The sequence below is a fragment of the Homo sapiens genome, chromosome 19, assembly GCF_000001405.40.
Source record: "Homo sapiens chromosome 19, GRCh38.p14 Primary Assembly".
NCBI lineage: Eukaryota > Metazoa > Chordata > Mammalia > Primates > Hominidae > Homo > Homo sapiens.
Window position 1 is genome coordinate 35798620 of NC_000019.10, and position 24959 is coordinate 35823578.

The 24959-nt window shown below is 50.1% G+C and overlaps 1 protein-coding gene across 4 annotated transcripts, besides 1 other annotated feature; it reads right to left on the minus strand.

The window, feature by feature from the left end:
* Positions 1–1368: 1368 nt before the first annotated feature.
* Positions 1369–14226, minus strand: PRODH2 (proline dehydrogenase 2). 4 transcript variants are annotated; one of them, NM_021232.2, is made up of 10 exons: positions 14013–14226; positions 13741–13937; positions 13515–13653; positions 13343–13429; positions 8422–8502; positions 8056–8211; positions 7811–7977; positions 4349–4459; positions 3572–3657; positions 1369–1603 (listed from the first exon to the last, which is right to left on the minus strand). In NM_021232.2, exons 1-10 carry the CDS (start codon positions 14184–14186, stop codon positions 1419–1421), a joined length of 1383 nt encoding a protein of 460 aa, NP_067055.2. In that variant the 5' UTR covers positions 14187–14226; the 3' UTR covers positions 1369–1418. The 4 variants fall into 4 exon arrangements, with proteins under 4 accessions (NP_067055.2, NP_001365221.1, NP_001365222.1 ...); NM_001378292.1 differs by lacking the exon at positions 8056–8211; NM_001378293.1 differs by lacking the exon at positions 3572–3657.
* Positions 8314–8814: an enhancer, noted in NCBI's record as "H3K4me1 hESC enhancer chr19:36297835-36298335 (GRCh37/hg19 assembly coordinates)". NCBI's record gives its function as "activates a minimal SCP1, AML or CMV promoter by ChIP-STARR-seq in naive H9 embryonic stem cells {active_cell/tissue: H9 hESC(naive)}" and the evidence as "EXISTENCE:reporter gene assay evidence [ECO:0000049][PMID:30033119]".

The following is a 24959-nucleotide window of genomic DNA, read 5'->3' on the forward strand; positions in this document are numbered from 1 at the left end:
CTGCAACCTCCATCTCCCAGGTTCAAGTGATTCTCCTGCCTCAGCCTCCCAAGTAGCTGGGATTACAGGCGAGTGCCACCACGCCTGGCTAATTTTTGTATTTTTAGTAAAGACAGGGTTTCACCATGTTGGGCAGGATGGTTTCGATCTCTTGACCTCGTGATCCGCCGGCCTCAGCCTCCCAAAGTGCTGGGATTACAGGTGTGAGCCACAGCACCTGGCTAGCTAATTTCTTTCTTTCTTTTTTTTTTTTTTTTTTTTTTGAGAGATAATGGGGTTTCACTATGTTGCCCAGGCTGGTCTCAAACTCCTGACCTCAAGCAATCCACCTGCCTTGGTCTCCCAAAGTGCTGGGATTACAGGCATGAGTCACTGCACCTAGTTTCATTCAATGCTTATTAACTGAGAGAATGGCTTGGCTCTTTCTTCTGTCCCTCCCTCGCCAAGTGGCCTGGGCCGAGCCCCTTGACTTCAGTGCCTTGGTGTCTGCTCCCCATGTGTGCCCTTCCTTTAGGCATCCCCTGGGATGAAGAAAGTTCTGCATCAGTCACTGGCCAGACCCAACCCAGGATGGTCTGCCTCAGAGGTGAGGGAGGCTTCCTTAGTCCTCCGTCAATGCCCTGGCTATGCTCAATGGGTGTCTAACGATCTTTTTTTTTTTTTTCTTTTCTTTTTTTTTTTTTTTGAGACTGAGTCTCACTCTGTTGCCCAGGCTGGAGTGCAGTGGCGTGATCTCAGCTCACTGCAAGCTCTGCCTCCTGGATTCATGCCATTCTCTTGCCTCAGCCTCCCGAGTAGCTGGGACTACAGGCGCCTGCCACCACGCCCGGCTATTTTTTGTATTTTTAGCAGAGACGGGGTTTCACCATGTTAGCTAGGATGGTCTCGATCTCCTGACCTCGTTATCCACACGCCTCGGCCTCCCAAACTGCTGGGATTACAGGCGTGAGCCACCGTGCCCGGCCTCTTTTTCTTTTCTTTTCTTTTTTTTTTTTTAAACACAGTCTCTTGCTGTCACCCAGACTGGAGAGCAGTGGTGCAGTCATAGGTCACTGCAGCCTCAAACCCCTGGGCTCAAGTGATCCTCCTGCCTCAGCCTCCCGAGCTGGGACCACAGGCACGCACCACCATGCCCTACTGATTTAATTTTTTGTAGAGAAAGAATATTGCTATGTTGCCCAGGCTGGTCTTGAACTCCTAGACTGAAGCACGCCTCCCACCTCGGCCTCCCAAAGCGCTGGGAGTATAGGCGAGAGCTACCACTCCCAGCCTAACGATCTCTCTTGAACTGCAAAACCCCTAGCTTGGGCTGGCTGAGGTCAAGATGAGCCCTTCCCCAAGGAGGCGGCGTCAGTGCAGGACAGCAGCTTAGGCAGCACCTAAGGACTTTTATTGACCACATGACCCCCTCAGGGGTGCTAGTGGGGTATCCTTCGGCATCCTGGCAGCAGCCGCCGCCACAGTTCTTGGCTGAGCAGCTCCTGTTCCCTGCGGGCACCCTGAAGCACGCTCCGGTTCTCCTGGGCCCTCCGGATCAGGTAGGGGATTACCTCCTCCAAGGAGCCATAGGGAATGGACTTATACACTACATAGCCGGCCTGCCCTGCAGGGAGAGTGGGTTTTGTTTTTTCGTTTTTGGTGTTTTTCTGAGACAGAGTCTCGCTCTGTTGCCCAGGCTGGAGTGCAGTGGTGCAATCTCAGCTCACTGCAAGCTCTGCCTCCAGGTTCAAGCGATTCTCATGCCTCAGCCTCCAGAATGGCTGGGATTATAGGCGCTTGCCACGACGCCCGGCTCATTTTTGTATTTTTAGTAGAGATGGGGTTTCACCATGTTGGCCAGGCTGGTCTCGAACTCCTGACCTCAAGTTATCCTCCTGCTTTGGCCTCCCAAAGTGCTGGGATTACAGGCGTGAGCCACCATGCCCAGCCTGGAGTGTTGACAGGGTATGGGCTTGGGCTGGGGGGACACTCCCCAGTCCCCACCTGGAACAGAGACTTCTGTTTCTGAGAACATGGCAGATTAAGTGAGTTGGATAAAATTTCTAACTGAAAAAGCTAAAAGTCCTGGAGCAAACTTTTTTTTTTCTCTCTTAGACAGGGTCTAGCCCTGTGGCCCAGGCTGGAGTGCAGTGGTGTGATCACGACTCACTGCTGCTTTGACCTCCCAGGCTCAAACAATCCTCCCACCTCAGCCTCCTGAATAGCTGGGACCACAGGCATGCACCTCCACGCCCAGCTAACTGTTTTTATTTTATCTCAATTGATTAATTAATTAATTAATTAATTTTGAGACAGAGTCTTGGTCTGTCGCCCTGGCTGGAGGGCAGTGGCACAATCTCAGCACACTGACCAACCTGGCCAACATGGTGAAACCCCGTCTCTACTAAAAATACAAAAATTGGCTGGGCATGGTGGTGCGTGCCTATAATCCCGGCTACTGGGGAGGCGGAGGCAGGAGAATCACTTGAACCCAGGAGGCGGAGGTTGAAGTGAGCTGAGATCGTGCCACTGCACTCAAGTCTGGGCGACAGAGCCAGACTCTGTCTCAAAAACAAAATAAATAAGCTGGGCGTGGTGGCTCACGCCTGTAATCCCAGCAACTCTGGGAGGCCAAGGCAGGCAGATCACCTGAGGTCAGGAGTTTGAGACCAGCCTGGCAAACATGGTAAGACCCCATCTCTACTAAAAATACAAAAATTAGCTGGGCGTGGTGGCAGCCGTCTGTAATCCCAGCTACTTGGGAGGCTGAGGCAGGAGAATCGCTTGAACCTGGGAGGCAAAGGTTGCAGTGAGCCAAGATGGCACCACTGGACTCCTGCCTGGGTAACAGAGCAAGACTCTGTCTCAAAATAAATAAATAAATAAAATAAAATAAAAGAGAAAATGAGAACCCAGAGAGAGAAGAGACACACAGCAAGCCACTTCTGCCCCAAAAGCAAAACCGAGGTGCTATCTGATGAATTCACAGAGTTGCGGGGGGACATTGAGTCAGTCTTCAAGCCTGAGGTGAGAGTTATAAGGGAGAACTTCCCCAAGTTAAGCTGGAACCCAAAAATCTACACCCTTAGAGTAAGAGTTAATAAAAAGTCAACCCTGCAACCTTCCCCCAGTCCCAGGAAATGGTCTTGGCCATAAACAGATCAAGGAAGAAAACAGAAAAATCCACCTCTGCGAAGTTGGGGCTATGGGTTAACCCCCTTATGTATTTGCAGCTCAAATTTGTGCCAGTGGGGTGTTTCAAGAAACCTCAAGCTATGAATTTAGGATAAAGTGATTTCGTTCTGCTTAGCACCTGGCAGAAGGAAACATTAATTACCTGGTGTCAGGCCCTGAGGAGCAGCACAGTAAAGATAACAAAACACACAAGAAATAATACACCATGATCAAGAACCAGCAGAAATGACAGACGGCAGACACAGAGACACAGCCTTGGAAGGCCCACAGACACTGGAATGACAGATCTCTCTGGAAGGATCTGGAGGCTGGGCCTTGGTTGGGAATAGGAGAAGGGCTCTGGCTGGGAGGGAGTAAGGCCTGGGGCTTGATGGGGGTGGGGGAGCCATTCACATACCCAGTGCTAGAGAGACGTGGTCACACATGCCCAGAAGTTGTCCGAAACAGACAGTCCCATCCAGAGGAATGCCCAGCTCCCACATGCTACAGAAAAGGCCACATCATCAGTCCAGACTGTGGCTGCATCTACAGCTTAAAGTCAGCCACTATGCACCCATATGGCGGCTCCAGTAATTCAAACATTGAAGTATTTCCAAACTCAATGATACATAATAACCAGTCCTTTGCATTCCTTGAAGGTCCCCCAGTGACTCCCAGCCAGTTCCCTGGAGCCCTCAGACCTCCTCATGCCCCAGCAAATAAGGGGCAACGTCTTGTCCATCTGGGACCTATAAGGACTTACAGGTATAGCAGGGGTTAATGTGTTTGTTTGTTTGTTTGTTTTAAGAGGTAGGGACTTGCTTTGTTACCCAGGCTGGAGTGCAGTGGCTCAAGCACTGCTCACTGCAGTCTCAACCTCTTGGGCTCAAGTGATCCTTCCACCTCCGGAATAGCTGGGACTACAGGTGTGCGCCACCACACCCAGCTGTTTTTTTTTTTTTAATTTGTTGTAGAAATGGGGTCTTGCTGTGTTGCCCAGGCTGGTCTCAAACAATCCTCCACCTTCGCCTCCCAAAGTGTTGGGATTATAGGCATGTGCCAACCATGCCTGGCTATAAATATTTTTAAAATTCTCCCCAGAACACCTCTGTCCATCTCTGGCATTTGAGCAAAGGAGAGGAAGGGAGGGCCCTTTTGTGGGCACCTATTTCCCGCCCATCCCTCCACCTCATACCGCTTGGTTGCCTGGCGAACAGATTCCTCATTGTGGGAAGCCACCATGAGGTGGCACATGGGGCCATGGCGGGCCACGTGCGTCAGCATCAGTTCCAGGCAGCGGCTGTAACTGAAGGGAGATGCTCTGTTCAGCTCACCTGGTGAGCGAGGGTCAGGCCCCAGCGACTGGGGTGGGTGGGGTGCTCCTAAGCAAGGGGTCTCTGGAACCAGTACTCTGTTCCATCTGCACCAGTTGTAAGGGACATCACTTCTCTGAGCCACTTTCATCTTCTGGGGTTTTTTGGGGGTTTTGTTTGTTTGTTTTTGAGATGGAGTCACTCTGTTGCCCAGGCTGGAATGCAGTGGCATGATCTCAGCTCACTGCAACCTCCACCTCCCAGGTTCAAGGGATTCTCCTGCCTCAGCCTCCCGAGCAGCTGGGATTACAGGCGTGCACCATCACACCCGGCTAATTTTTGTATTTTTAGTAGAGACGGAGTTTCGCCATGTTGCCCAGGCTGGACTCGAACTCCTGACCTCAGGTGATCTGCCCGCCTCAGCCTCCCAGAGTGCTGGGATTACAGGCGTGAGCCACCGCACCCGGCCCCATGTTAATCTCTTGTCACTGTGAGTTTCCGAGCAACACTGTTGTGAGGATGGAGTGAGATAAGGGGGATATGAAGTCTTTGGGACAGTGGCGGCGGTCTCACAGGAGAGGGTCGCATCACATGCACAAGATGACATTTCCCCAAGGTTATCACTGCTGCATTGTCAACAGAACATCACTAGCAACAGCCCAAATGTCCATAAATGGGGAACTGGCTAAGGAAATTGTGGTACAGAGAAGATAGTGCTCTATCGCGCAACTGTGAAAAGGAAGGAAGACACTGTCTGGGTACTGATATGGAAGAGGAAATAGATTGGCAAACACCTTGCAAGCATGCTGCAGGCCACGGGCCACGCTATGTATTTCACATCCTCTGTGGGTCTTCCCTATCGCCCCCCAGACCTGTTTTCTACCCTTCTCTGCCCCTCAGGAAGCTGACACTTTTGCCCCACATCCCCCATGGAGTCATGTGCAGGAAGGAGTGTGGGTGTCTCACCTCGGCCCCTCCCTGCTCACCCTGACTGTGTTCTGTGTGTGGCCACAGCTCCCTAAGGTGGCCCCTCTCCTTCAACTACAGCATAGGGGTCAAAATAGCTTCCTAATAGCTTCCCTGACTTTGCCCACACTTCCTTTTCGTTTTGTGTTTTTTAGAGACTGGGTCTCACTCTGTTGCCCAGGTTGGAGTGCAGTGGCGTGATCTCGGCTCACGGAATCCTCCAACTCCTGGGCTCAAGCGATCCTCCCACCTTGGGCTCCCAAAGTGCTGGGATTACAGGTGTGAGGCCCTGCACCTGGCCCCTGACACTTCTATAAACAGCCTCTTCACCACATTTCCTTTAGTTAAAACCCTTTGTGCAGAATTCTGTTTGCTTTGGAGAAAGCTAATCACTCATCTAATTCCCACATCAACTCTGGGAGGCAGATGTTCTTATTCCATTTTAACAGAGTGGGGAGACTGAAGCTGAGAGGGGTTCTATCTCTTGTCCCCAGGTCACACAGCTAGAGGTGGCCAGGCTGGGATTTGAACTCAGGCTGTCTGATGCTCCAGAGCCCAGGCTCCTTATCGGTAGGCTAGTCTGCCTTTAAAATGCACAGTTGTGGCTGGACATGCTGGCTTACGCCTATAATCCCAGCACTTGGGGAGGCCAAGGCAGGAGGGCTGCTTCAGCCTAGGAGTTCAAGACTAGCCTGGGCAACATAGGGAGACCCCGTGTCTACAAAAATAAAAAAATGTGTTGGGTATGGTGGTGTGCGCTGGTGGTCTTAGCTACTGGGGAGACTGAGGTGGGAGGATGGCTTGGGCCTGGGGAGTCAAGGCTGCAGTGAGCCAAGATCGCACCACTGCACTCCAGCCTGGGCGACAGAGTGAGACCCTGTCTCAAAAATAACTTAAAAAACAAATGAAAAAAGCCAAATATACAAGGGCACATATTGTATGATTCCATTTATAAGATTGTCTAGAATAGGCAAATCCACAGAGACAAAAAGTAGGTTAGTGGTTTCCAGGGGCTGAGGGGAGGAGGGAACAGAAGGCAGCTGACTGCTCATTGGTATGAGGTTACTTTTTGGGGTGATGAAAATATTGTGGAATCAAAGAGTGGTGATGGTTGCACAATTTTGGGAATATACTAAACTCCACTGAATTGTACATGTTAAAATTGTGAATTCTATGATACGTGAATTATATTTCAATATTTAAAATAATAGTGCAAATTATTATTATTATTTTGAGATGGAGTCTCACTCTGTCGCCCAGGCTGGAGTGTAGTGGCTCAATCTTGGCTCACTACAACCTTTGCCTCCTGGGTTCAAGTGATTCTCCTTCCTCAGCCTCCCAAGTAGCTGGGATTACCAGTGCAAGCCACCACACCCGGCTAATTTTTGTATTTTTAGTAGAGACAGGGTTTCACCATGTTTGTCAGGCTGGTCTCAAACTCCTGACCTCAGGTGATCTGCCTGCCTCAGCCTCCCAAAGTGCCGGGATTACAAGCGTGAGCCACCATGCCCGGCCATAATTTTTTGTGTTTAATGTTTTTTACAGATGGGGTCTTGCTATGTTGTGCAGATTGGGCTCAAACCCCTGGGCTCAAGCAATCTTCCTGCCTCAGCCTCCCAAGTAGTTGGGATGACAGGTGCACACCACTGTGCCTGGCTTGGTGCCAGTTAAGCTGATGGTACACAAACGTGCCCTGGAGCCCCTGCAGATCTTGGACATGAGCCTGGATTCCAAGCGTGGCTAGGCCACCTGCTCTGTAGCCTGGCTGAGTCCCTGTGGCCCCCAGAGAAGGTACCAAGAAGTAAAGATCTAAGGAGGTGAGGGATGGGGCCATGCCACTGTCTGCAGTGGGAATGTCCCAGGCAGTGGAAACAGGATGTGCCAAGCCCCTGGGTAACATGGAGGAGGCCAGTGTGGCTGTAGTGGAGTGAGGGAGAGGAAGAGAGGGAGGGAAAGTTAGGGAAGTGACAGGGAGCATGTGGGGCTTAGAGGCCACTGTAAGGATTTCTTTTTGTTTTGTTTTGTTTGTTTGTTTGTTTGTTTGTTTGTTTTGAGACAGATTCTCGCTCTGCTGCCCAGGCTGAAGTGCAGTGGTGCAGTCATGGCTCACTGCAGCCTTGAACTCCTGGCCTCAAGTGATCCTCCCACCTCAGCCTCCTAAGTGGCTGGAACCACAGGCATGTGCTACCACACCTGACTATTTTTAAAATTTTTTAGAGATGGGGTCTCCCTGTGTTGCCCAGGCTGGTCTCCAACTCCTGCTCTCAAGTGAATCTCTAGCCTCAGCCTCCCAAAGCACTGGGATTACAGGTATGAGCCACTGCACCCAACCACTAGGTGTTATTATTTCCTGCAGAGGCCAGCTGGCCCGGGCCTACCTCTGACTGGTGGCCTCATAGTCAGGCTGAGTGGGGTCTTCCATCCCATGGAGCTGGGCCACCGCTCTCTCCTTGTCCAGATATGCACCTCGTACCAGCTTCACTCCGAAGGCCAGGCCGGCCCTGTGCGCAGCCTCTGCATCCCTCCCCAGCCGCTCGAATGTGTCCTATAGGGCACGCAGGCAGGTTCTGGTAGGTCAGGGTGTGGGGACCCCAGCCTGTACCTCCTGGAACACACTGCACACCTTTAGACAGGCCTGGTAGGTGTTCCACACCCAGGGCCCGCCTTCACCCGGGCTGTTCCAGCGCACAGCCAGGGCAGCCACCAGCAGCGAGAGCGCAGGGTTCAGTGAGGTGTACTCCGCATCCACCAGGAGCCGCACGTGCTGGGCCCGGGCATACTGATGGCGACAGAGACGACGGTCAGGGCCCCGGGTGTCCAGCAGGGGCAGTGGAGCCAGATCCCAGCAGGAGGGGTTACCTGTGCCACCCGATGCAGGCGGCTGAGGGAGGCCCGGAGGTGCTGGTTCCAGCAGGAGGGGTTACCTGTGCCACCCAATGCAGGCGGCAGAGGGAGGCCCGGAGGTGCTGGTTCCAGCAGGAGGGGTTACCTGTGCCACCCGATGCAGGCGGCTGAGGGAGGCCCGGAGGTGCTGGTTCTGCTCAGCATTGAGGCAGGAGACCTGGAGGTTCTAGGGGGCAGCAGGGGAAGTGGGGAAAAGCTTATAAGTTGCTAGAAATCTAAAAATGAGCAATATCAGTTAGGTACTATTTATTGAGGGGGTTATGAGCCTAGAATCAGGGCTCGAATCCAGGCTTCACCACCTACTGTGTGACCTTGGGCAAGTTATGTAACCTTTCTGGGCCTCAGTTTTTGTTTGTTTGTTTTTTGAAACAGAGTCTTGCTCTGTTGCCCAGGCTGGAGTGCAGTGGCATGATCTCAGCTCACTGCAACCTCTGCCTCCTGGGTTCAAGTGATTCTCCTGCTTCAGCCTCCCGAGTAGCTGGGATTACAGGCGCCCGCCACCATGCCCGGCTAATATTTGTACTTTTAGTAGAGACAGGGTTTAACCATGTTGGCCAGGCTGGTCTCGAACTCCTGACCTCAAGTGATCTGCCCACATCGGCCTCCCAAAGTGCTGGGATTACAGGTGTGAGCCACCGTGCTCAGCCCTCCCTGCTACTCTTTGAACACGAGGGCACCTTCCCACCTCCAGCCCTTTACCTGCTCCCATGTTTCCTTCAAGTATTTGCTCTAATGTCACTTTCTCAACATGGTTTTCCCACCTATACATTGGCAACTTCTTTTCCTCTTCCTCAGCCTTATTTTCCCTTACTTGTTACGTACTGACTTTTGTTTTGCTGAGACGGGGTCTTGCTGTGTTGCCCAGGCTGGAATGCAGTGGCACGATCATGGCTCACTGCAGCCTCCACCTCCCCAGCTCAAGCAATCCTCCTGCTTCAGCCTTCCAAGTACCTAGTACCACAGGCACCCACCACCATGCCGGGCTAATTCTTTACTATTTGTAGAGTCAAGGTCTTCCTATGTTGCCCAGGCTGGTCTCAGTCTCCTGGACTCAAGCGATCCTCCCACCTCAGCCTTCCAAAGTGCTGGGATTCTGACTTTGGTTTTAATTATTGTCTCTTGCCCCTGACTTGCAAGTAAGTGCCTCGAGGTCAGGGATTTTGCCTTCATGCTTCCTCGGCCCCTAGCACCGTGTCTGGAACAAGATAGATGTTCAGCAAACACTTCGGGAGTGGATATGCTTGTAACATGGAAATAAGAACCGTTTCTAACTCACAGTCTTATGCAGATTCATCTGGCTGAATGTGAGCTGCTGGTGACTCCAGGGAGTCTGGCTGGGTTCAAAGAAGTTGGGAAATGGAAGAAAGAGGAACAGGTGGGGCTGAAAGCTTTATTATATCCAACAGGGTCGATACAGATGACATAGGCCTGGGCTTGCTCATGGAATCCCACCTGGAGGCAGGTTGGGCTGGAAGCTGCAACCTTCCGCATGGTGGGGAGAATGCTGCCTCCTGGAGAAGGGAAGACCTGGAGGCAGCAGCCTGGTTTCCTCCTCCCCTGTCAGAGGATTGTCTCCTGCTTGACTTGGGGCGTAGTCTTAGGCCCTCAGGGAGCTATTTCAGACACCCACCAAATATTTAACTCATTTAATATTTACCACTCTCTAATGTACCAACTGTTATTATCCCCCCATTTTCTAGATGGGGAAACTGAGGCACAGAGCAGGGAAGTCACTTGTCAAAAGTCACACAGCTAACTCAGGGCAGACCTGAGGTTTAAACCTCAGCCTTTCCAGAGCCTGGGTCTTTCTCTCTTTTCTCCCTCCCTCCCTCCTTCCCTCCCTTCCTTCCTTCCTTCTTTTTTTTTTTTTTTTGAGATAGATCTCACTCTGTCTCCCAGGCAAGAGTGCAGTGGTGCAAGTTCAAGTGATTCCCCTGCCTCAGCCTCCTGATTAACTGGGGCTACAGGCACGTGCCACCACTTCTGGATAAGTTTTATATTTTTAGTAGAGATGGGGTTTCACCATGTTGCCCAGGCTGGTCTCAAACTCCTGACCTCAAGTGATCCAGCCCCACTTAGCCTCCCAAAGTGCTGGGATTACAGGTGTGAGCTACAGCACCTGGCCCTTTTTTCTTTCTTTCTTTATTTCTTTCTTCCTTCCTTCCTTCCTTCCTTTCCTTCCTTCCTTCCTTCCTCCCTCCCTCTCTTTCTTTCTTCGCTCTCAAACTTGCCAGCTCAAGCAATCCTCCCACCTTAGCCTCCCAAGTAGCCAGGATTACAGGTGCCTGCCACCACACCCAGCTAATTTAAAGGAATTTTTTGTAGAGATGAGGGTTTACTATATTACTCAGGTTGGTATTGACCTCCTGGGCTCAAGCGACCCTCCTGCCTTAGCCTCCACACCAGGTGTGCACCAGCACACAGGCTGATTTTTTAATTTTTTTGTAGAGATGAGATCTCACTATGTTGCCCAGGCAGGTCTCAAACTCCTGGGCTCAAGTGAGCCTCCAATTTCAGCCTCCCAAAATGCAGATTACAGGCATGAGGCACTGCACCCAGCCTGTTTTAATCCTTAAAACCACTGAGAAGTTGCTGTCACTCTCCCTACAGGAATAAACTAAAGCTCATGAAGAGGTGAACTCCTTACTCTCCAAAGCTGATTTTCTGAACCATGAAATCTTGTTTCTATGTGTTCTCTGACACACTTTAAAAATTACAAATAAGGCCAGGTACAGTGGCTCATGCCTGTAATCCCAGCACTTTGGGAGGCCGAGGCACGTGGATCACGAGGTCAGGAGTTAAAGACTAGCCTGGCCAACATAGTGAAACCCCATCTCTACTAAAAATACAAAACTTAGCTGGGTGTGGTGGTGTGCGCCTGTAGCCCCAGCTACTCAGGAGGCTGGGGCAGGAGAATCGTTTGAACCCGGGAGGCGGAGGTTGCAGTGAGCCGAGATCGCACCACTGCACTCCAGCCTGGGCAACAGAGCCAGATGCCGCTTCAAAAAAAAAAAAAAAAAAAAAAAAAAACGCTGGGCGTGGTGGCTCACGCCTGTAATCCCAGCACTTTGGGAGGCTGAGGCGGGCGTTTCACCTGGGGTCAGGAGTTCAAGACCAGCCTGGCCAACATGGTGAAGCCTCATCCCTACTAAAAATACAAAAATTAGCCAGGTGTAATGGCAGGCGCTTGTAATCCCAGCTACTCGGGAGGCTGAAGCAGGAGAACCCGGGAGGCGGAGGTCGCAGTGAGCAGAGATTGCGCCACTGCACTCCAGCCTGGGCAACAGAGCAAGACTCTGTCTTAAAATAATAATAATAATAATAATAATAATAATAAATAAATAGATAAACAAATAAAAATTACAAATAAAAAAAGGTTAGAAAAAGAAACATCAGCATGTCCACTATAGCATTGTTTGGGAGGGTGGAGACACAGAGGCCACCCAGGGGTTCACCCCAGGAGAGGTAAACCATGCAGCAGCTAGAATCAACTATTGGAAACAGTGGGGGCCGGGCATGGTGGCTCAGCCCATAATCCCAACAATTTGGGAGGGTGAGGCAAGAAGAATTTTTTTTTTTTTTTTTGAGACGGAGTCTTACTCTGTCACCAGGCTGGAGTGCAGTGGCACGATCTCGGTTTACTGCAACCTCCGCCTCCCGGTTCAAGCGATTCTCCTGCCTCAGCCTCCCAAGTAACTGGGACTACAGGTGTGTGCCACCACGTCCAGATAATTTTTGTATTTCTAGTAGAGACGGAGTTTTACCATGTTGGCCAGGCTGGTCTTGAACTCCTGACCTCCAGTAATCCATCCGCCTCAGCCTCCCAAAGTGCTGGGATTACAGGCGTGAGCCACTGCCCCCGGCCATGTTCTAAATCTTGATAGGGATTTGGATTGCTCAAGTGTGTGTATTGGTTAAGGTTCATCAAAGGGCACATTTACAATGTGTGTAGTTCATTGTTTTACCTTGAAAGAAAAAAAGTACTGCGAATAATTATTGGGCTCTAATTAATGAGCCCATTATTCATATCCTGAAGCATTTAGGGGGAAAACATGTCTGCAATTTACTTTGAAATGCACCAAAAAATAAGATGGATTGATGGATGGATAGAGGAATAGAGGGATAGATATGATTTAAAGTGAGTATAGTTAAAGGTGGCGGGGGCATGGATGTTCATGTACAATTCTTTTTACTTTTCTGTATATTTGAAAATTTTTATAATAGAATATTGGGGAAAATATGCCCCCCACGAATGGTATACACCTGGCAAAACAAAATCATAGAAACAAAAAGATATGCATTATACAAGACGGCAGGCTGGGTGTGGTGGCTCACACCTATAATCCCAGAACTTTGGGGGGCTGAGGCTGGGGGATTGCTTGAGGCCATGAGTTAGAGACCACCCTGTGCAATACAGTAAGACAAAGAGAAAGAGAGAGAGAGAGAGAGAGGAGGGAGGAGAGAGAAGGAAGGAAGGAAGGAATAAAGGAAGGAAGGAAGGAAGGGAGGGAGGGAGGGAGGGGAGAGAAGGAAAAAGAAAAGAAGGAAGGAAGGAGAGAGAGCAAAAGAGGAAGAGGAAGGAAGGAGAGAGAGAGAAAGAAAGAAAAAAAGATGGAGTAGGGTTGAAAGAGAATGTGGAGATAAAAAGGAATTAATGATTGAATGAACAAACTAAGACCCCATTGGCCTAATCAGAACTTACACCCAGCCAGCTCACACCCATGCAGCTGTGTTGACTGAGAACACACTGATGTACCTCCTTCTAATTGATAAACAGCTTCTATCCCAATCCCTCCTCTGAGAGCCTCCAGCCTCCAGGCTCCTCCCTGAGAACCCAGATGACCCTGATTCCATCCATTTCAACCATGCCTGGGAGCTACAGCTGCACTTCTGCTGGCTGTTCCAAGCCTGGAGGTGGCCGTAGCATTTTGAACATCTGGCGTGCGGTGTGGCCGCATCTAAGTCCAAGGCACTCTGTCCCCGACAGTCCCGCTTGAGATCCTTACCTGCCCAGAGTCCATAGCTTCAGCCAGCCTCTCGGGGCTCAGCTCCAAGGAGGCTCCTGGCCTTCTGACCCACGAGGCTAGCTCCTTCTGAAATGGGGTGGTAGGCGGGGTGGTGAGGGGAGCCCGATGGGCAGCCGCGCCCTCCCCGCACCCCCGTCTTTGCACTCCTTACACAGAGCCGAGTACTGGTCAGCGCCGTCACCTTCAGCTGCATGAGGCTGGCCTCAGCCAGGCTGGGGGGCTCCAGGAGGCCCCGTGACAGGTCCACACACCGCAGCATAGCACCGAGGTTCCCCTCATACCACGCCTCACTGCCCAGCCAGCAGGTGTCAGGGCCCGAACAGCAAAGCCCCTTCCTGCGTCCTCCCAGCCTCCCTGGGCCCTGGCTCCCTACTCACCCACTCTTGGCAGCAGAGTCCGGCTCCTCCTCAGTGGGCACTGCCAGCAGTGGTCGGAGGCTGAGGGTCCGCAGCTGCTGCACGCAGCCCTTCACCTCCTCTGCTGTCTCACCAGCCACAAACTGCCCATAGACGGATGCTCGGAGAAATGCGCCTGAGAGCCGGGAGCCCAGGAGTCGCCGAGACCAGGCCTGGAGCTGGGTGACAGGGAGCGAGGGCTCAGCGCCAGGCTATGAGGAGCCTCCAGGCTGGTCCTCAGGATCACTGCTCACCAACAGCCCGTGAGTGACGAGTGGGGGCCAGGCACACAGCCGGAGAACCAGCAAGGCCCGTGTCAGCTCTCCTGTGCCCTTAAGGTGGAAGGCCCCGCCATCAAAGCTCAGGGACTGCCAGCCCCTGGAGGGGGGACCAGCTTGGGAACAGAGCACGTAACAGGTCCGGAGCATCCTGGGTCCCTGGCTGCCTCCACACCAGGGAAGGTTCTCTGGAGGCAGCAAGTTCACCAACTGCCCCTTGCCCAGACCAGGGGCAGTGACTGATTAACTGGGCAAAGCCTCAGGATCACAGGCTCCTTGGGGGCAATTAATTATTAACAAATGGGGACAGAGTTCAGAGTAACGGAAACGGGAGGTGAACCCCAGTAACAGCCCCCAAGAATGCTCAGCACAACAGCCTGCACTTATTAGGTAACCACCATGTGCTGGGGAAAGCAGGGGCTCCGGAGCAAGGATCCCTGGGCTCAGGACACCGGGCTTTGTGATCCAGGACAGGCTACTTAATCACTTTTGTGGCAATTGCTTCCTCTTAAAATTGGAAACGCTGTAGTGTTATTGAATACATTTGAAAATACGGTTCTCACGTTTGTAATCCCAACACTTTGGGAGGCCAAGACCGAGGAGTTTGAGACTACCCTGGGCGACATAGTGAGACCCCATCTCTACAAAAAATACAAAAATTAACTGTGTGTGGTGGCACACACCTGTGGTCCTAGCTACTCAGGAGGCCGAGGAAGGTGGATCTCTTGAGCCTGGGAGGTCAAGGGTGCAGTGAGCTGTGATTGTGCCACTGCACTCCACCCTGGGTGACAAAGTGAGACTCTGTCGCCAAAAAAAGAAAAAAGAAAAGACAAATAACCTATATAACCCAGCTGTTCCATGCTAAGTACATATCCTAGAGACCTTAAACATGGACAGCAGGAAACATGTACAGGAAAGAATGTTCAGAGGAGCAGTGTCTGAACTACCCAAATGTCCATCAAAAGGAGAATGGATACATATATGGTGGTGTAGTTATGCAATGGAATACTATACAGTAATGAAAAAGAATGGATACTGATACACACAACTGTGTGGCTGAATCTCACAATGTCAAGTGAAAGAAGCCAGACACCAAACAGGGCAAGCTGTATTATTCTTTTTTTTTTTTTTTTTTTTTTTTTTTTGAGACACAGTTTCACTCTTGTTGCCCAGGCTAGAGTGCAATGGCACAATCTCAGCTCACTGCAACCTTCACCCCCCGGGTTCAAGCGATTCTCTTGCCTCAGCTTCCAGAGTAGCTGGGATTACAGGCATGTGCCACCACGCCCCACTAATTTTGTATTTTTAGTAGAGACAGGGTTTCTCCATGTTGGTCAGACTGGTCTTGAACTCCCGACCTCAGGTGATCTGCCCGCCTCAGCCTTCCAAAGTGCTGGGATTACAGGCATGAGCCACTGTGGCTGGTCTATACTTTTCAATAAATATAAAAGCAAGGAAAGTGAAACTGCAGTAAAATGTTGGGAATACATGCGTGGGTGGTCAAACTATGAGGACAAGAAAAGTAAGGACATGATTATCACAGAAGTCAGAGAGGTGGTTGATTGTGGGGGATGGGAGGAATTGTAATGGGGTAGAGGGATATGGGGACTTCTATATCCTATTTTCTTTTTTTAAAATGGAAACCATATGTCTTAATTTTTTTGTTTTGTTTTGTTAGACGTATCCTTGCTCTGTCACCCAGGCTGGAGTGCAGTGGTGCGATCTCGGCTCACTGCAACCCCCATCTCCCGGGTTCAAGTGATTCTTCTGCTTTAGCCCCCTGAGTAGCTGGGACTACAGGCACCCACCACCACACCTGGCTAATTTTTGTATTTTTGTAGATATGGGGTTTCACCATGTTGGCCAGGCTGGTCTTGAGCTCCTGACCTCAAGTGATCCACCCTACTTGTCCTCCCAACATGCTGGGATTACAGGCGTGAAGTCCTAGGTCTTTTTTTTTTTTTTTTTTTTTTTTTGAGACAGAGTCTTACTCTGTTGCCCAGGCTGGAGTGCAGTGGCACGATCTCGGCTCACTACAGCCTCTGCCCCCGGGTTCAAGCAATTATCCTGCCTCAGCCTCCCGAGTAGCTAGGATTACAGGCGTCTGCCACCGCGCCTGGCTAACTTTTGTGTTTTTAGTAGAGTCACGGTTTCACCATCTTGGCCAGGCTGGTCTTGAACTCCTGACCTCATGATCCACCTGCCTTGGCCTCCCAAAGTGCTGGGATTACAGGTGTGAGCCACTGTGCCTGGCAGTGGCTTCTAGGTCCTAGGAGTCCTAGGTCTTAACATGGATGATGATTCATAGTTGTTCACATTGTAAGGTTTTTTTTGTTTTGTTTTTGAGACAGAGTCTTGCTCTGTCTTCCAGGCTGGAGTGCAGTGGGGTGATCACTGCTCACTGCAGCCTCAAACTTCTGGGCTCAAGCAATCCCCCCACCCACCACCTCCACCTCCCAAGTAGCTGGGATTACAGGTGCATGTGATCACACCGAGGGTAATTTTTAATTGTTTTTTTGGTAGAGACAGAGTCTTACTATGCTGCCTAGGCTGGTCTTGAACCCCTGGACTCAAGCAGTCCTCTCACCTTGGGCCTCCCAAAGTGTTGGGATTTCAGGCATGAGCCACGGCACCTGGCCCTCACATTGTAAGTTTTTTTTTTTTGAGACGGAGTCTTGCTCTGTCCCCCAGGCTGGAGTGCAGTGGCGCAATCTTGGCTCACTGCAAGCTCCGCCTCCTGAGTTCATGCCATTCTCCTGCCTCAGCCTCCCGAGTAGCTGGGACTACAGGCACCCACCACCACGCCCGGCTAATTTTTTGTATTTTTAGTAGAGACGGGGTTTTACCATGTTAGCCAGGATGGTCTCAATCTCCTGACCTCGTGATCCACCCGCCTCGGCTTCCCAAACTGCTGGGATTACAGGCGTGAGCCACACTGCGCCCGGCCTTGAAATTTTTATTTATTTTCTTATTTATGTATGTATGTATGTATGTATGTGTGTATTTATTTATTTATTCATTTTTGAGACAGGGTCTCACTCTGTTGCCCAGGCTGGAGTGCAGTGGCACAATTTCGGCTCACTGCAGCCTCAACCTCCCAGGCTCAGGTGATCCTCCCACCTCTGCCTCCCAAGTAGCTGGGACTATAGGCACATGCCACTATGCCCAGCTAAATTTAAAAAAATTTTTTTTTCCTTTCTTTTTTGTGATGGGGGATCTCACTCTGTCACCCAGGCTGGAATGCTCCAGCATGATCATGGCTCACTACAGCCTCAAACTCCTAGGCTCAAACAATCCTCCTACCTTGGCCTCCCAAACGCTAAGCTTATAGGCATGAGCCTCTGTACTTGGCCTGCCTTTTTTTTCTTTTCTTTTTTTTTTTGGCTCCATCTTGCTCTGTTGCCTAGGCTGCAGATGTCTGCTCACTGCAACCTCCGCCTCCCAGGTTCAAGTGATTCTCCTGCCTCAGCCTCCCAAGTAGCTGGGATTACAGGTGTCTGCTACCATGCCCGGCTAATTTTTGTACTTTTAGGAGAGGCGGGGTTTCACCATATTAACCAGGCTGGTCTTGAACTCCTGGCCTCAGATGATCCGCCTACCTTGGCCTCCCAACGTGCTGGGATTACAGACGTGAGCCACCACGCCCAGCCTAGGGCCTCATCCCCAGAAATGTGATTACTGGGTAGGCATTGGGGTGTTGAAAGCTCCCCTGGTGGTTCAAATGTTCACCCAGGTGAAGAGGCACGGCCCCTACAATCGGACACCTTAGCCTCTCTAAATGGGGTCCTCCCTCCCTCTTTGTCTTTTCACTGTCCCTGGAACACACCCAGCTTCCTGCTGTTGCATTTCCGCTGTTCCTTTTCCCTGAAAACTCCACCCTTCCTTCTTTCCCTAATTAACTCCCACCTGCCCTCAGGTGTCAGGGTTTAAGACACCCCCTCAAGGAGGTCTGCCTTGAGCAGCCCCTCCCAGATGAGGGGGAGTTTTACCCTTTCACATTTTAACACCAGCCTTGTAGCTCTTGTCATGTTTATTCGTCTGTGAGTGAAGACTCAGTTTCTCTCCCCACGCCCCTGCTAGACTGTGAACACCATGAGGTCGGGGGGTCACATTTGGTTTTGTCATTAATTTATCCCTACTGCTTAACACAGGACTTATTTTTGTTGAATGGACTTATTTTTGTTGAATGGGTAACTAATTTAATAGATTTCTTTGGTATTTGCTGGACAAGGGACTTATAGATTGCATCACATCAATTCAAGCAGATTCTGGATAAGACCCACCTTTTTTTTTTTTTTTTTTTTTGAGACAGGGTCTCACTCTGTCGCCCAGGCTGGAGTGCACAATGTCGGCTCACTGAAACCTCCACCTCCCGCATTCAAGCATGCTCCTGCCTCAGGCTCCCGAGTAGCTGTGATTACAGTTGCAGGCCATGAGGCACACGCCACCATGCCCGGCTAATTTGTGTGTGTGTGTGTGTTTTTTTTTTTTTTAAGTAGAGACAGGTATTTCACATTGTTGGCCAGGTTGGTCTCAAACTCCTGACCTTGTGATCCGCCCGCCTCGGCCTCCCAAAGTTCTGGGATTACAGGTGTGAGCCACCGCGCCCGGCCTCGAAGTTTTTTTGTTTTTTTTTTTTTAATGAGACATAGTCTTGCTCTGTCACCAGCTGGAATGCACGGCGCGATCTCGGCTCACTGCAACCTCTGCCTCCTGGGTTCAAGCGATTCTCCACCTCTGCCTCCCAAGTAGCTGGGACTACAGGCGCACACCGCCACGCCCAGCTAATTTTTTGTATTCTTTTAGTAGAGATGGGGTTTCACCATGTTGGCCAGGCTGGTCTCGAACTCCTGAGCTCAGGCAATCCGCCTGCCTCGACCTCCCAAACATGGCCTTGGGAATCGCCATGTTTGGGTGGACCCAGTTGGGTGGCCTGCATTTGCATATTAAAGGTTGCCGGCCTGGTTCTAAGAGCTGCTTTAAAAACAAAAACCTCCAGGCCACGCCTGTAATCCCAGCACTTTGGGAGGCTGAGGCGGGCGGATCACCTGAGGTCAGCAGTTTGAGACCAGCCTGGCCAACATGGTGAAACTCCGCCTCTACTAAAAATACAAAAATTAGCCGGGCGTGATGGCGCGTGCCTGTAATCCCAACTACTCAGGAGGCTGAGGCAGGATAATCGCTTGAACCGGGGAGGTGGAAGTTACAGTGAGCCGAGATGGCGCTATTGCACTCCAGCCTGGGCAACAGAGTGAGACTCCGTCTCAAGAAAAAAAAAAAAAAAAAAAGGTAGAAATTAGAGAGTATAGAAGAGAGGCAATCTTGGAAGAAATAATGGCTGAGAATTTTCCAGAACTGATGAAAAATACATATTCACAAAGAAGCAAAGATATCTTAAGCTAGATAAAACAAAAGAGGCCGGGTGTGGTGGCTCGTACCTGTAATCCCAACACTTTGGGAGGCTGAGGCGGGCAGATCACGAGGTCAGGAGTTCGAGACCAGCCCGGCCAAATGGTGAAAACCTGCCTCTACTAAAAATACAAAAATTAGTTGGGCGTGGTGGCACGTGCTGGTAATCCCAGCTACTCGGGAGGCTGAGGCAGAAGAATCCCTCGAACCTGGGAGGCAGAGGTTGCAGTGAGCTGAGATCGCCCATTGCACTCCAGCCTTGGTGACAGAGTGAGACTCCATCTCAAAACAAACAAACAAGCAAACAAACAAACAAACACTAAAGAAATCCATGCCTAAACACATCATACTGAAATGGCAGAGCATTGAAGCTACCGAGGTCTATTATTTATCTTTGCATCCTCCAGAGTGTAGCCTGGACTAGATGCTCCACCAATTCAATTACATCAAGAGGGTGGGTATCCCAGGTTGAGACCACAGACAAATTAAAGGCAAGGAGGTAGAAACAAATATGGCTATAAGAAGGAAAAGCATTTTTCTCACCTATCTGAGGCACACAACCTGGATTGGGGGAAAGTGAAGTTGAAAATGAGAGTGTGGGAGAGGGAGAGACTAGGTGGAGAGAATTTTTGTTTCGTTTTGTTTTAGAGACAGGGTCCTGTTCTGTCACCCAGGCTGTAGTACAGTGGTGTGATCGATCATAGCTCTCATAGCTCACTGCAGCTTTGAACTACTGGGCTCAAGGGATCCTCCTGCCTCAGTCTCCCGAGTTGCTGGGACTACAGGAGTGTGGCACCACAGCTGGGTAATTTTTGTGTTTTTTGTAGAGATGGGGTCTCTCTGTGCTGCCTGGGCTGGTCTGGAACTCCTGGTCTCAGGTGGTCCTCCTGTCTCAGCCTCCCAAAGTGCTTGGATTACAGACATGAGCCACCCACACCTGGTCACTGGGGAATCCTGAGTGCCCTGCAAAACAGAACACAATGGGCTGCTCAACAGTAGCCATGGAAGGTTCTGGAATAAAGTTCCCAGCCGGTCCTTCTGTGGGTGATTGTCCATTTTGTGGTAAGAGGCAAAGGGGCTCTAACACCAGCAGAGAGGCAGAGCCATAGGTGGGAGAGTCCCTCTTATTCTCTCTGGTTGGGTCACCAGGTGACCCCATACCAATCACTGGGATTGAAGAATAAGGTATTCCAGCCAGCTCCAGTGCTGTGCCTGTTTCTGGAGCTTCAAGAGTGCTCAACCAATGCACAAAACCTACCTGGGGCGTGGTGGCTCATGCCTGCAGTACCAGCACTTTGGGAGGCCGTGGCGGGTGGATCACCTGAGGTCAGGAGTTTGAGACCAGCCTGGCCAACATGGCGAAACCTCTTCTCTACTAAAAATACAAAAACTAGCTGGGGGTGGTGGCAGGCGCCTGTAATCCCAGCTACCGGGAGGCTGAGGCATAAGAATCGCTTGAACCCGGGAGGTGGAGGTTGCAGTGAGCCAAGATCGCATAACTGCACTCCAGCAGCAACACAGGTGCACTCTCTCTCTAAATAAACAAATAATTAAAAACAAAATGAAACAAAAAACTGGACTCATGCGTGACTCTGATGGTTCCAGGAGGTGATACATATACAGAACATAGAATGTGAGCTGGCATGTGTTAGGAGCTCATAAATGCTGTCTGTCACTGCTGCTGCAGCGACTCATTGGCTTCCTGTCACCCACAGGATAAAGCACAAACCCATAAGATGAGCTTTGTGGTTTATCTTTGGCCATCTCACTAGCCTTAATTCCTACCACTCCCTGACTTGGGGGTTATTCTCCAGCAACAATTTTAGGGAAATCCCTTCCCACACTGTGCTCCTGGAGTCTTCTTTGTCTCCAGCCCCTGCACAGCTACTTATCCCTTAATACTGGAGTTTGGTGACAGCTTAGGAGCAGAGGACAGTCCAGCCAGTTTTAATCTCCAGCACAGACCTCTCTCCTGAGCTCTGGAACCCAATGTACACACACACACACACACACACACACACACACACACACACACACACACACACATGCTCATTCAGAATCCCCTCATGGATTGGTTCTTCTCAAACGGGACACGACCGCACCCTGGTGGGAGCTTGGGAAATTTGCATAATTGTTTTTGGCTGCAGCATTGATTGGAGGGCATTACAGGCATCTAGAGGCAGGACCAGGAATGCTGGACGCTGAAATCTGCATCCAGAACAGTTTGTAAATGTCTTTGCAGGCGCTTCTGTGCGTAAAATAAGTTTACAGTTATCTGAAATTATTAATATAACACATATACCATACACACAAAATTTTGGTATGGTTTAAAATATATTGACATTTTCTGAAATGAAACTATGATGTAAATTTATTTTTATTTATCTATTTTTTTTGGAGACAGAATCTCGCTCTGTTGCTCAGGCTGGAGTGCAGTGGTGCCATCTCAACTCACTAGAACCTCTGCCTCCCGGGTTCCAGTGATTCTTCTGCCTCAGCCTCCCAAGTAGCTGGGTTTACAGGCCTGTGCCACCACGCCCAGCTAATTTTTTGTATTTTTAATAGAGAGGGAGTTTCACCATGTTGGCCAGGCTGGTCTCAAATTCCTGACCTCAAGTGATCCTCCTGCCTTGGCCTCCCAAAGTACTGGGATTACAGGCGTGAGCCACTGTGCCCGGCTTCTGATGTAAAGAAAGTGAAAATTGTGTACTTTTTTGTTCAGAATGGCACCAATGGTTATACATCATATCAGAAGAATCACAATTCCAACAATGCCACCTATGAGATGTAATGTAAAATTCTGAATGAAGTATAGCACACATAAAGAAATGTGCCCATATCATGTGTTCAGTATGAATTTTCAGGAAGTGACCAGAAAGTAAATTTGACGCAAGTGACACTTGAATAACTAACACCCAAGTCAAGAAAACAACTTCGTAATCCCAGCACTTCGGGAGGCCAAGGCAGGAGGATCGCTTGGGCCCAACCTGGACAACATAGTGAAACTCTGTCTCTACAAAGATAAAAAATTAGCCATGTGTGGTGGTGCACACTTGTAGTCCCAGCTACACAGGAGGCTGAGGTGGGAGGATCGCTTGAGCCCAAGAGTTGGAGGCTGCAGTGAGCCATCATCACACCACTGCACTCCAGCCTGGGAGACAGAGCAAGACACCATATCAAAAAAAAAAAAAAAAAAAAAAAGAAAGAAAGAAAAGAAAACAACATTATGAGGATTCTCACCCCAAGCCTTCCTGGTGCCAGTTTCAATCACCATCCCCCTCTCTCCCAAAGGTAACCAGACTCTTTGTTTGTTTGTTGAGACAGGGTCTGGCTCTGTTGCCCAAGCTGGAGTGCAGTGGTGTGATGATGGCTCACTGCAGCCTTGAATTCCTGGGCTCAAGCAATCCTCCCACCTCAGCCTCCTGAGTACTTGAGGCTACCGTTGCACACCACCATGTCCAGCTAATTTTTGTATTATTTTGTAGAAACAGGGTTTCACCATTTTACCCAGGCTGGTCTCAAACTCCTGGTCTCAAGCAATCTACACATCTTGGCCTCCCAAAGTGCTGGGATTACAGGCATGAGCCCCGGCTCAGGTTATGCACTTTTATAGTCAGTAGTATTAGTAACATGTGGTTGTATCCTTCTCAGTAATTTTTTTTTTTTTTTGAGACAGAGTCTCGCTCCGTCGCCCAGGCTGGAGTGCAGTGGCACGGTGTCGGCTCACTGCAGCCTCCGCCTCCTGGGTTCAAGCCTCCTGAGTAGCTGGGATTACAGGCACGTGCCACCACTCTCAGCTAATTTTTATATTTTTAGTAGACACAGGGTTTCACATGTTGGTCAGGCTGGTCTTGAACTCCTGACCTGAGGTGATCTGCTCACCTCTGCCTCCCAAGGTGCTGGGATTACAGGTATGAGCCACCACGCCTGGCCCCTTCTCAGTATTTTATATCAGGGGGCTCCTTGTGTCAGTTTGTCCCATGACTGGTAGCATCAACTTTGATCATCTGGTGAAGGTGACATCTGTCAGGTTTATCCACTGTGAAATTACTATTTTTCCCCAAGTAACTAATGCAATACATGCTTTTTAGGCTCTACTAATTTGAGTTTCCACCCCTTGCAAATTATTTATTTCCTCCTCAGTTAACTAAAGACCTCATTCAAACTGGTTTAAGAGTGAAGGACATTTAGGCCGGGCGCGGTGGCTCACGCCTGGTAATCCCAGCACTTTGGGAGGCCAAGGAGGGCGGATCACAAGGTCAGGAGATCGAGACCATCCTGGCCAACACGGTGAAACCCCGTCTCTACTAAAAATACAAAAAATTAGCCGGGCGAGGTGACAGGTGCCTGTAGTCCCAGCTACGTGGGAGGCTGAGGCAGGAGAATGGCATGAACCCTGGGGCGCGGAGCCTGCAGTGAGCCGAGATCGCGCCACTGCACTCCAGCCTGAGTGACAGCGAGACTCCGTCTCAAAAAAAAAAAAAAAAAAAAAAGAGTGAAGGACATTTATGGTTGCAACTAACTGAAAATGACATTCAGACTGACCTAAGTGGGGAGGGAAACTGGTAGTCTAGAAGTAGCCCTGACTTCAGGTGTGGCTGGATCCAGTGGCTTGGTACAACTAGGCATTTGTCTTGTTCATCAATATCTGTATAGATTAAGGGGGACTAGATCCGGGGAAGGCAGAAGCAATAGATGTCCGCTACACTGAATCAGAAAAAGGAGAGGAGGAAGTAGGAACTGCATGAAGAGACCCAGCCACAGCCTGCGGTTACTTTGGAGAGCTTCTTCCAAGTGGTTCATGGTGCTGAGCAACCCAGGACCTGGCTTAGCAGCATATTCCTTGGCCACAGTGGTTGGTTCCAGGACAGGCATAAGACCCAGCCTGGGCTGATGAAAGACAGCCCCAGAGCTTTCCAGAACTATTGGCATAAAGAGGCACTCTGGCTGCTGAGCTCATGGGATACCAGCCTAGAACTACAAGTGGTCTTCTCTGTTTCCCAAATAAAGGGTCTACCCGAGAATGAAGCTAGACCTTGCATGGCTATGTTTCAATACTAGGTCTGGCAGTGTCTGAAGCCAACGCTACCCCCTGCAATTGTCAGCTGCAAGAGCCAACAAATTTCCTTTCCTGCTTAAGCCAATGTAGAATAGAATGTTCTAGGTTTTGCAGGGAATGGTGGCTCACGCCTGTAATCCCAGCACTTTGTGAGACTGAGGCGGGCAGATCACTTGAGGTCAGGGGTTCAAGACCAGCCTGGCCAACATGGCAAAACCCCATCTCTACTAAAAATACAAAAATTAATTGGGCGTGGTGGCGCACACCTGTAATCCCAGCTATGCGGGAGGCTGAGGCAAGAGAATCTCTTGAACCAGGAGGCAGAGGATGCAGTGAGCCGAAATAACGCCACTGCACTCCAACCTGGACTACAGAGTGAGACTCTGTCTCAAAAAAATAAAATAAAAAAGAATAAAAATACAAAAATTATCTGGGTGTGGTGGCATACACCTGTA

Bases quoted from the DNA above. Each gene is read 5' to 3' on its own strand.
- PRODH2 (NM_021232.2), bottom strand. From the start codon at position 14,186: ATGCTCCGGACCTGTTACGTGCTCTGTTCCCAAGCTGGTCCCCCCTCC. The intron at 13,654-13,740 runs GTGAGTAGGGAG...CTGGCTGGGCAG, and splicing joins GACTCTGCTGCCAAGAGTGG to TGAGGCGTGGTATGAGGGGA. The intron at 3,658-4,348 runs GTATGAGGTGGA...CCTTTTCTGTAG, and splicing joins GTTCGCCAGGCAACCAAGCG to CATGTGGGAGCTGGGCATTC.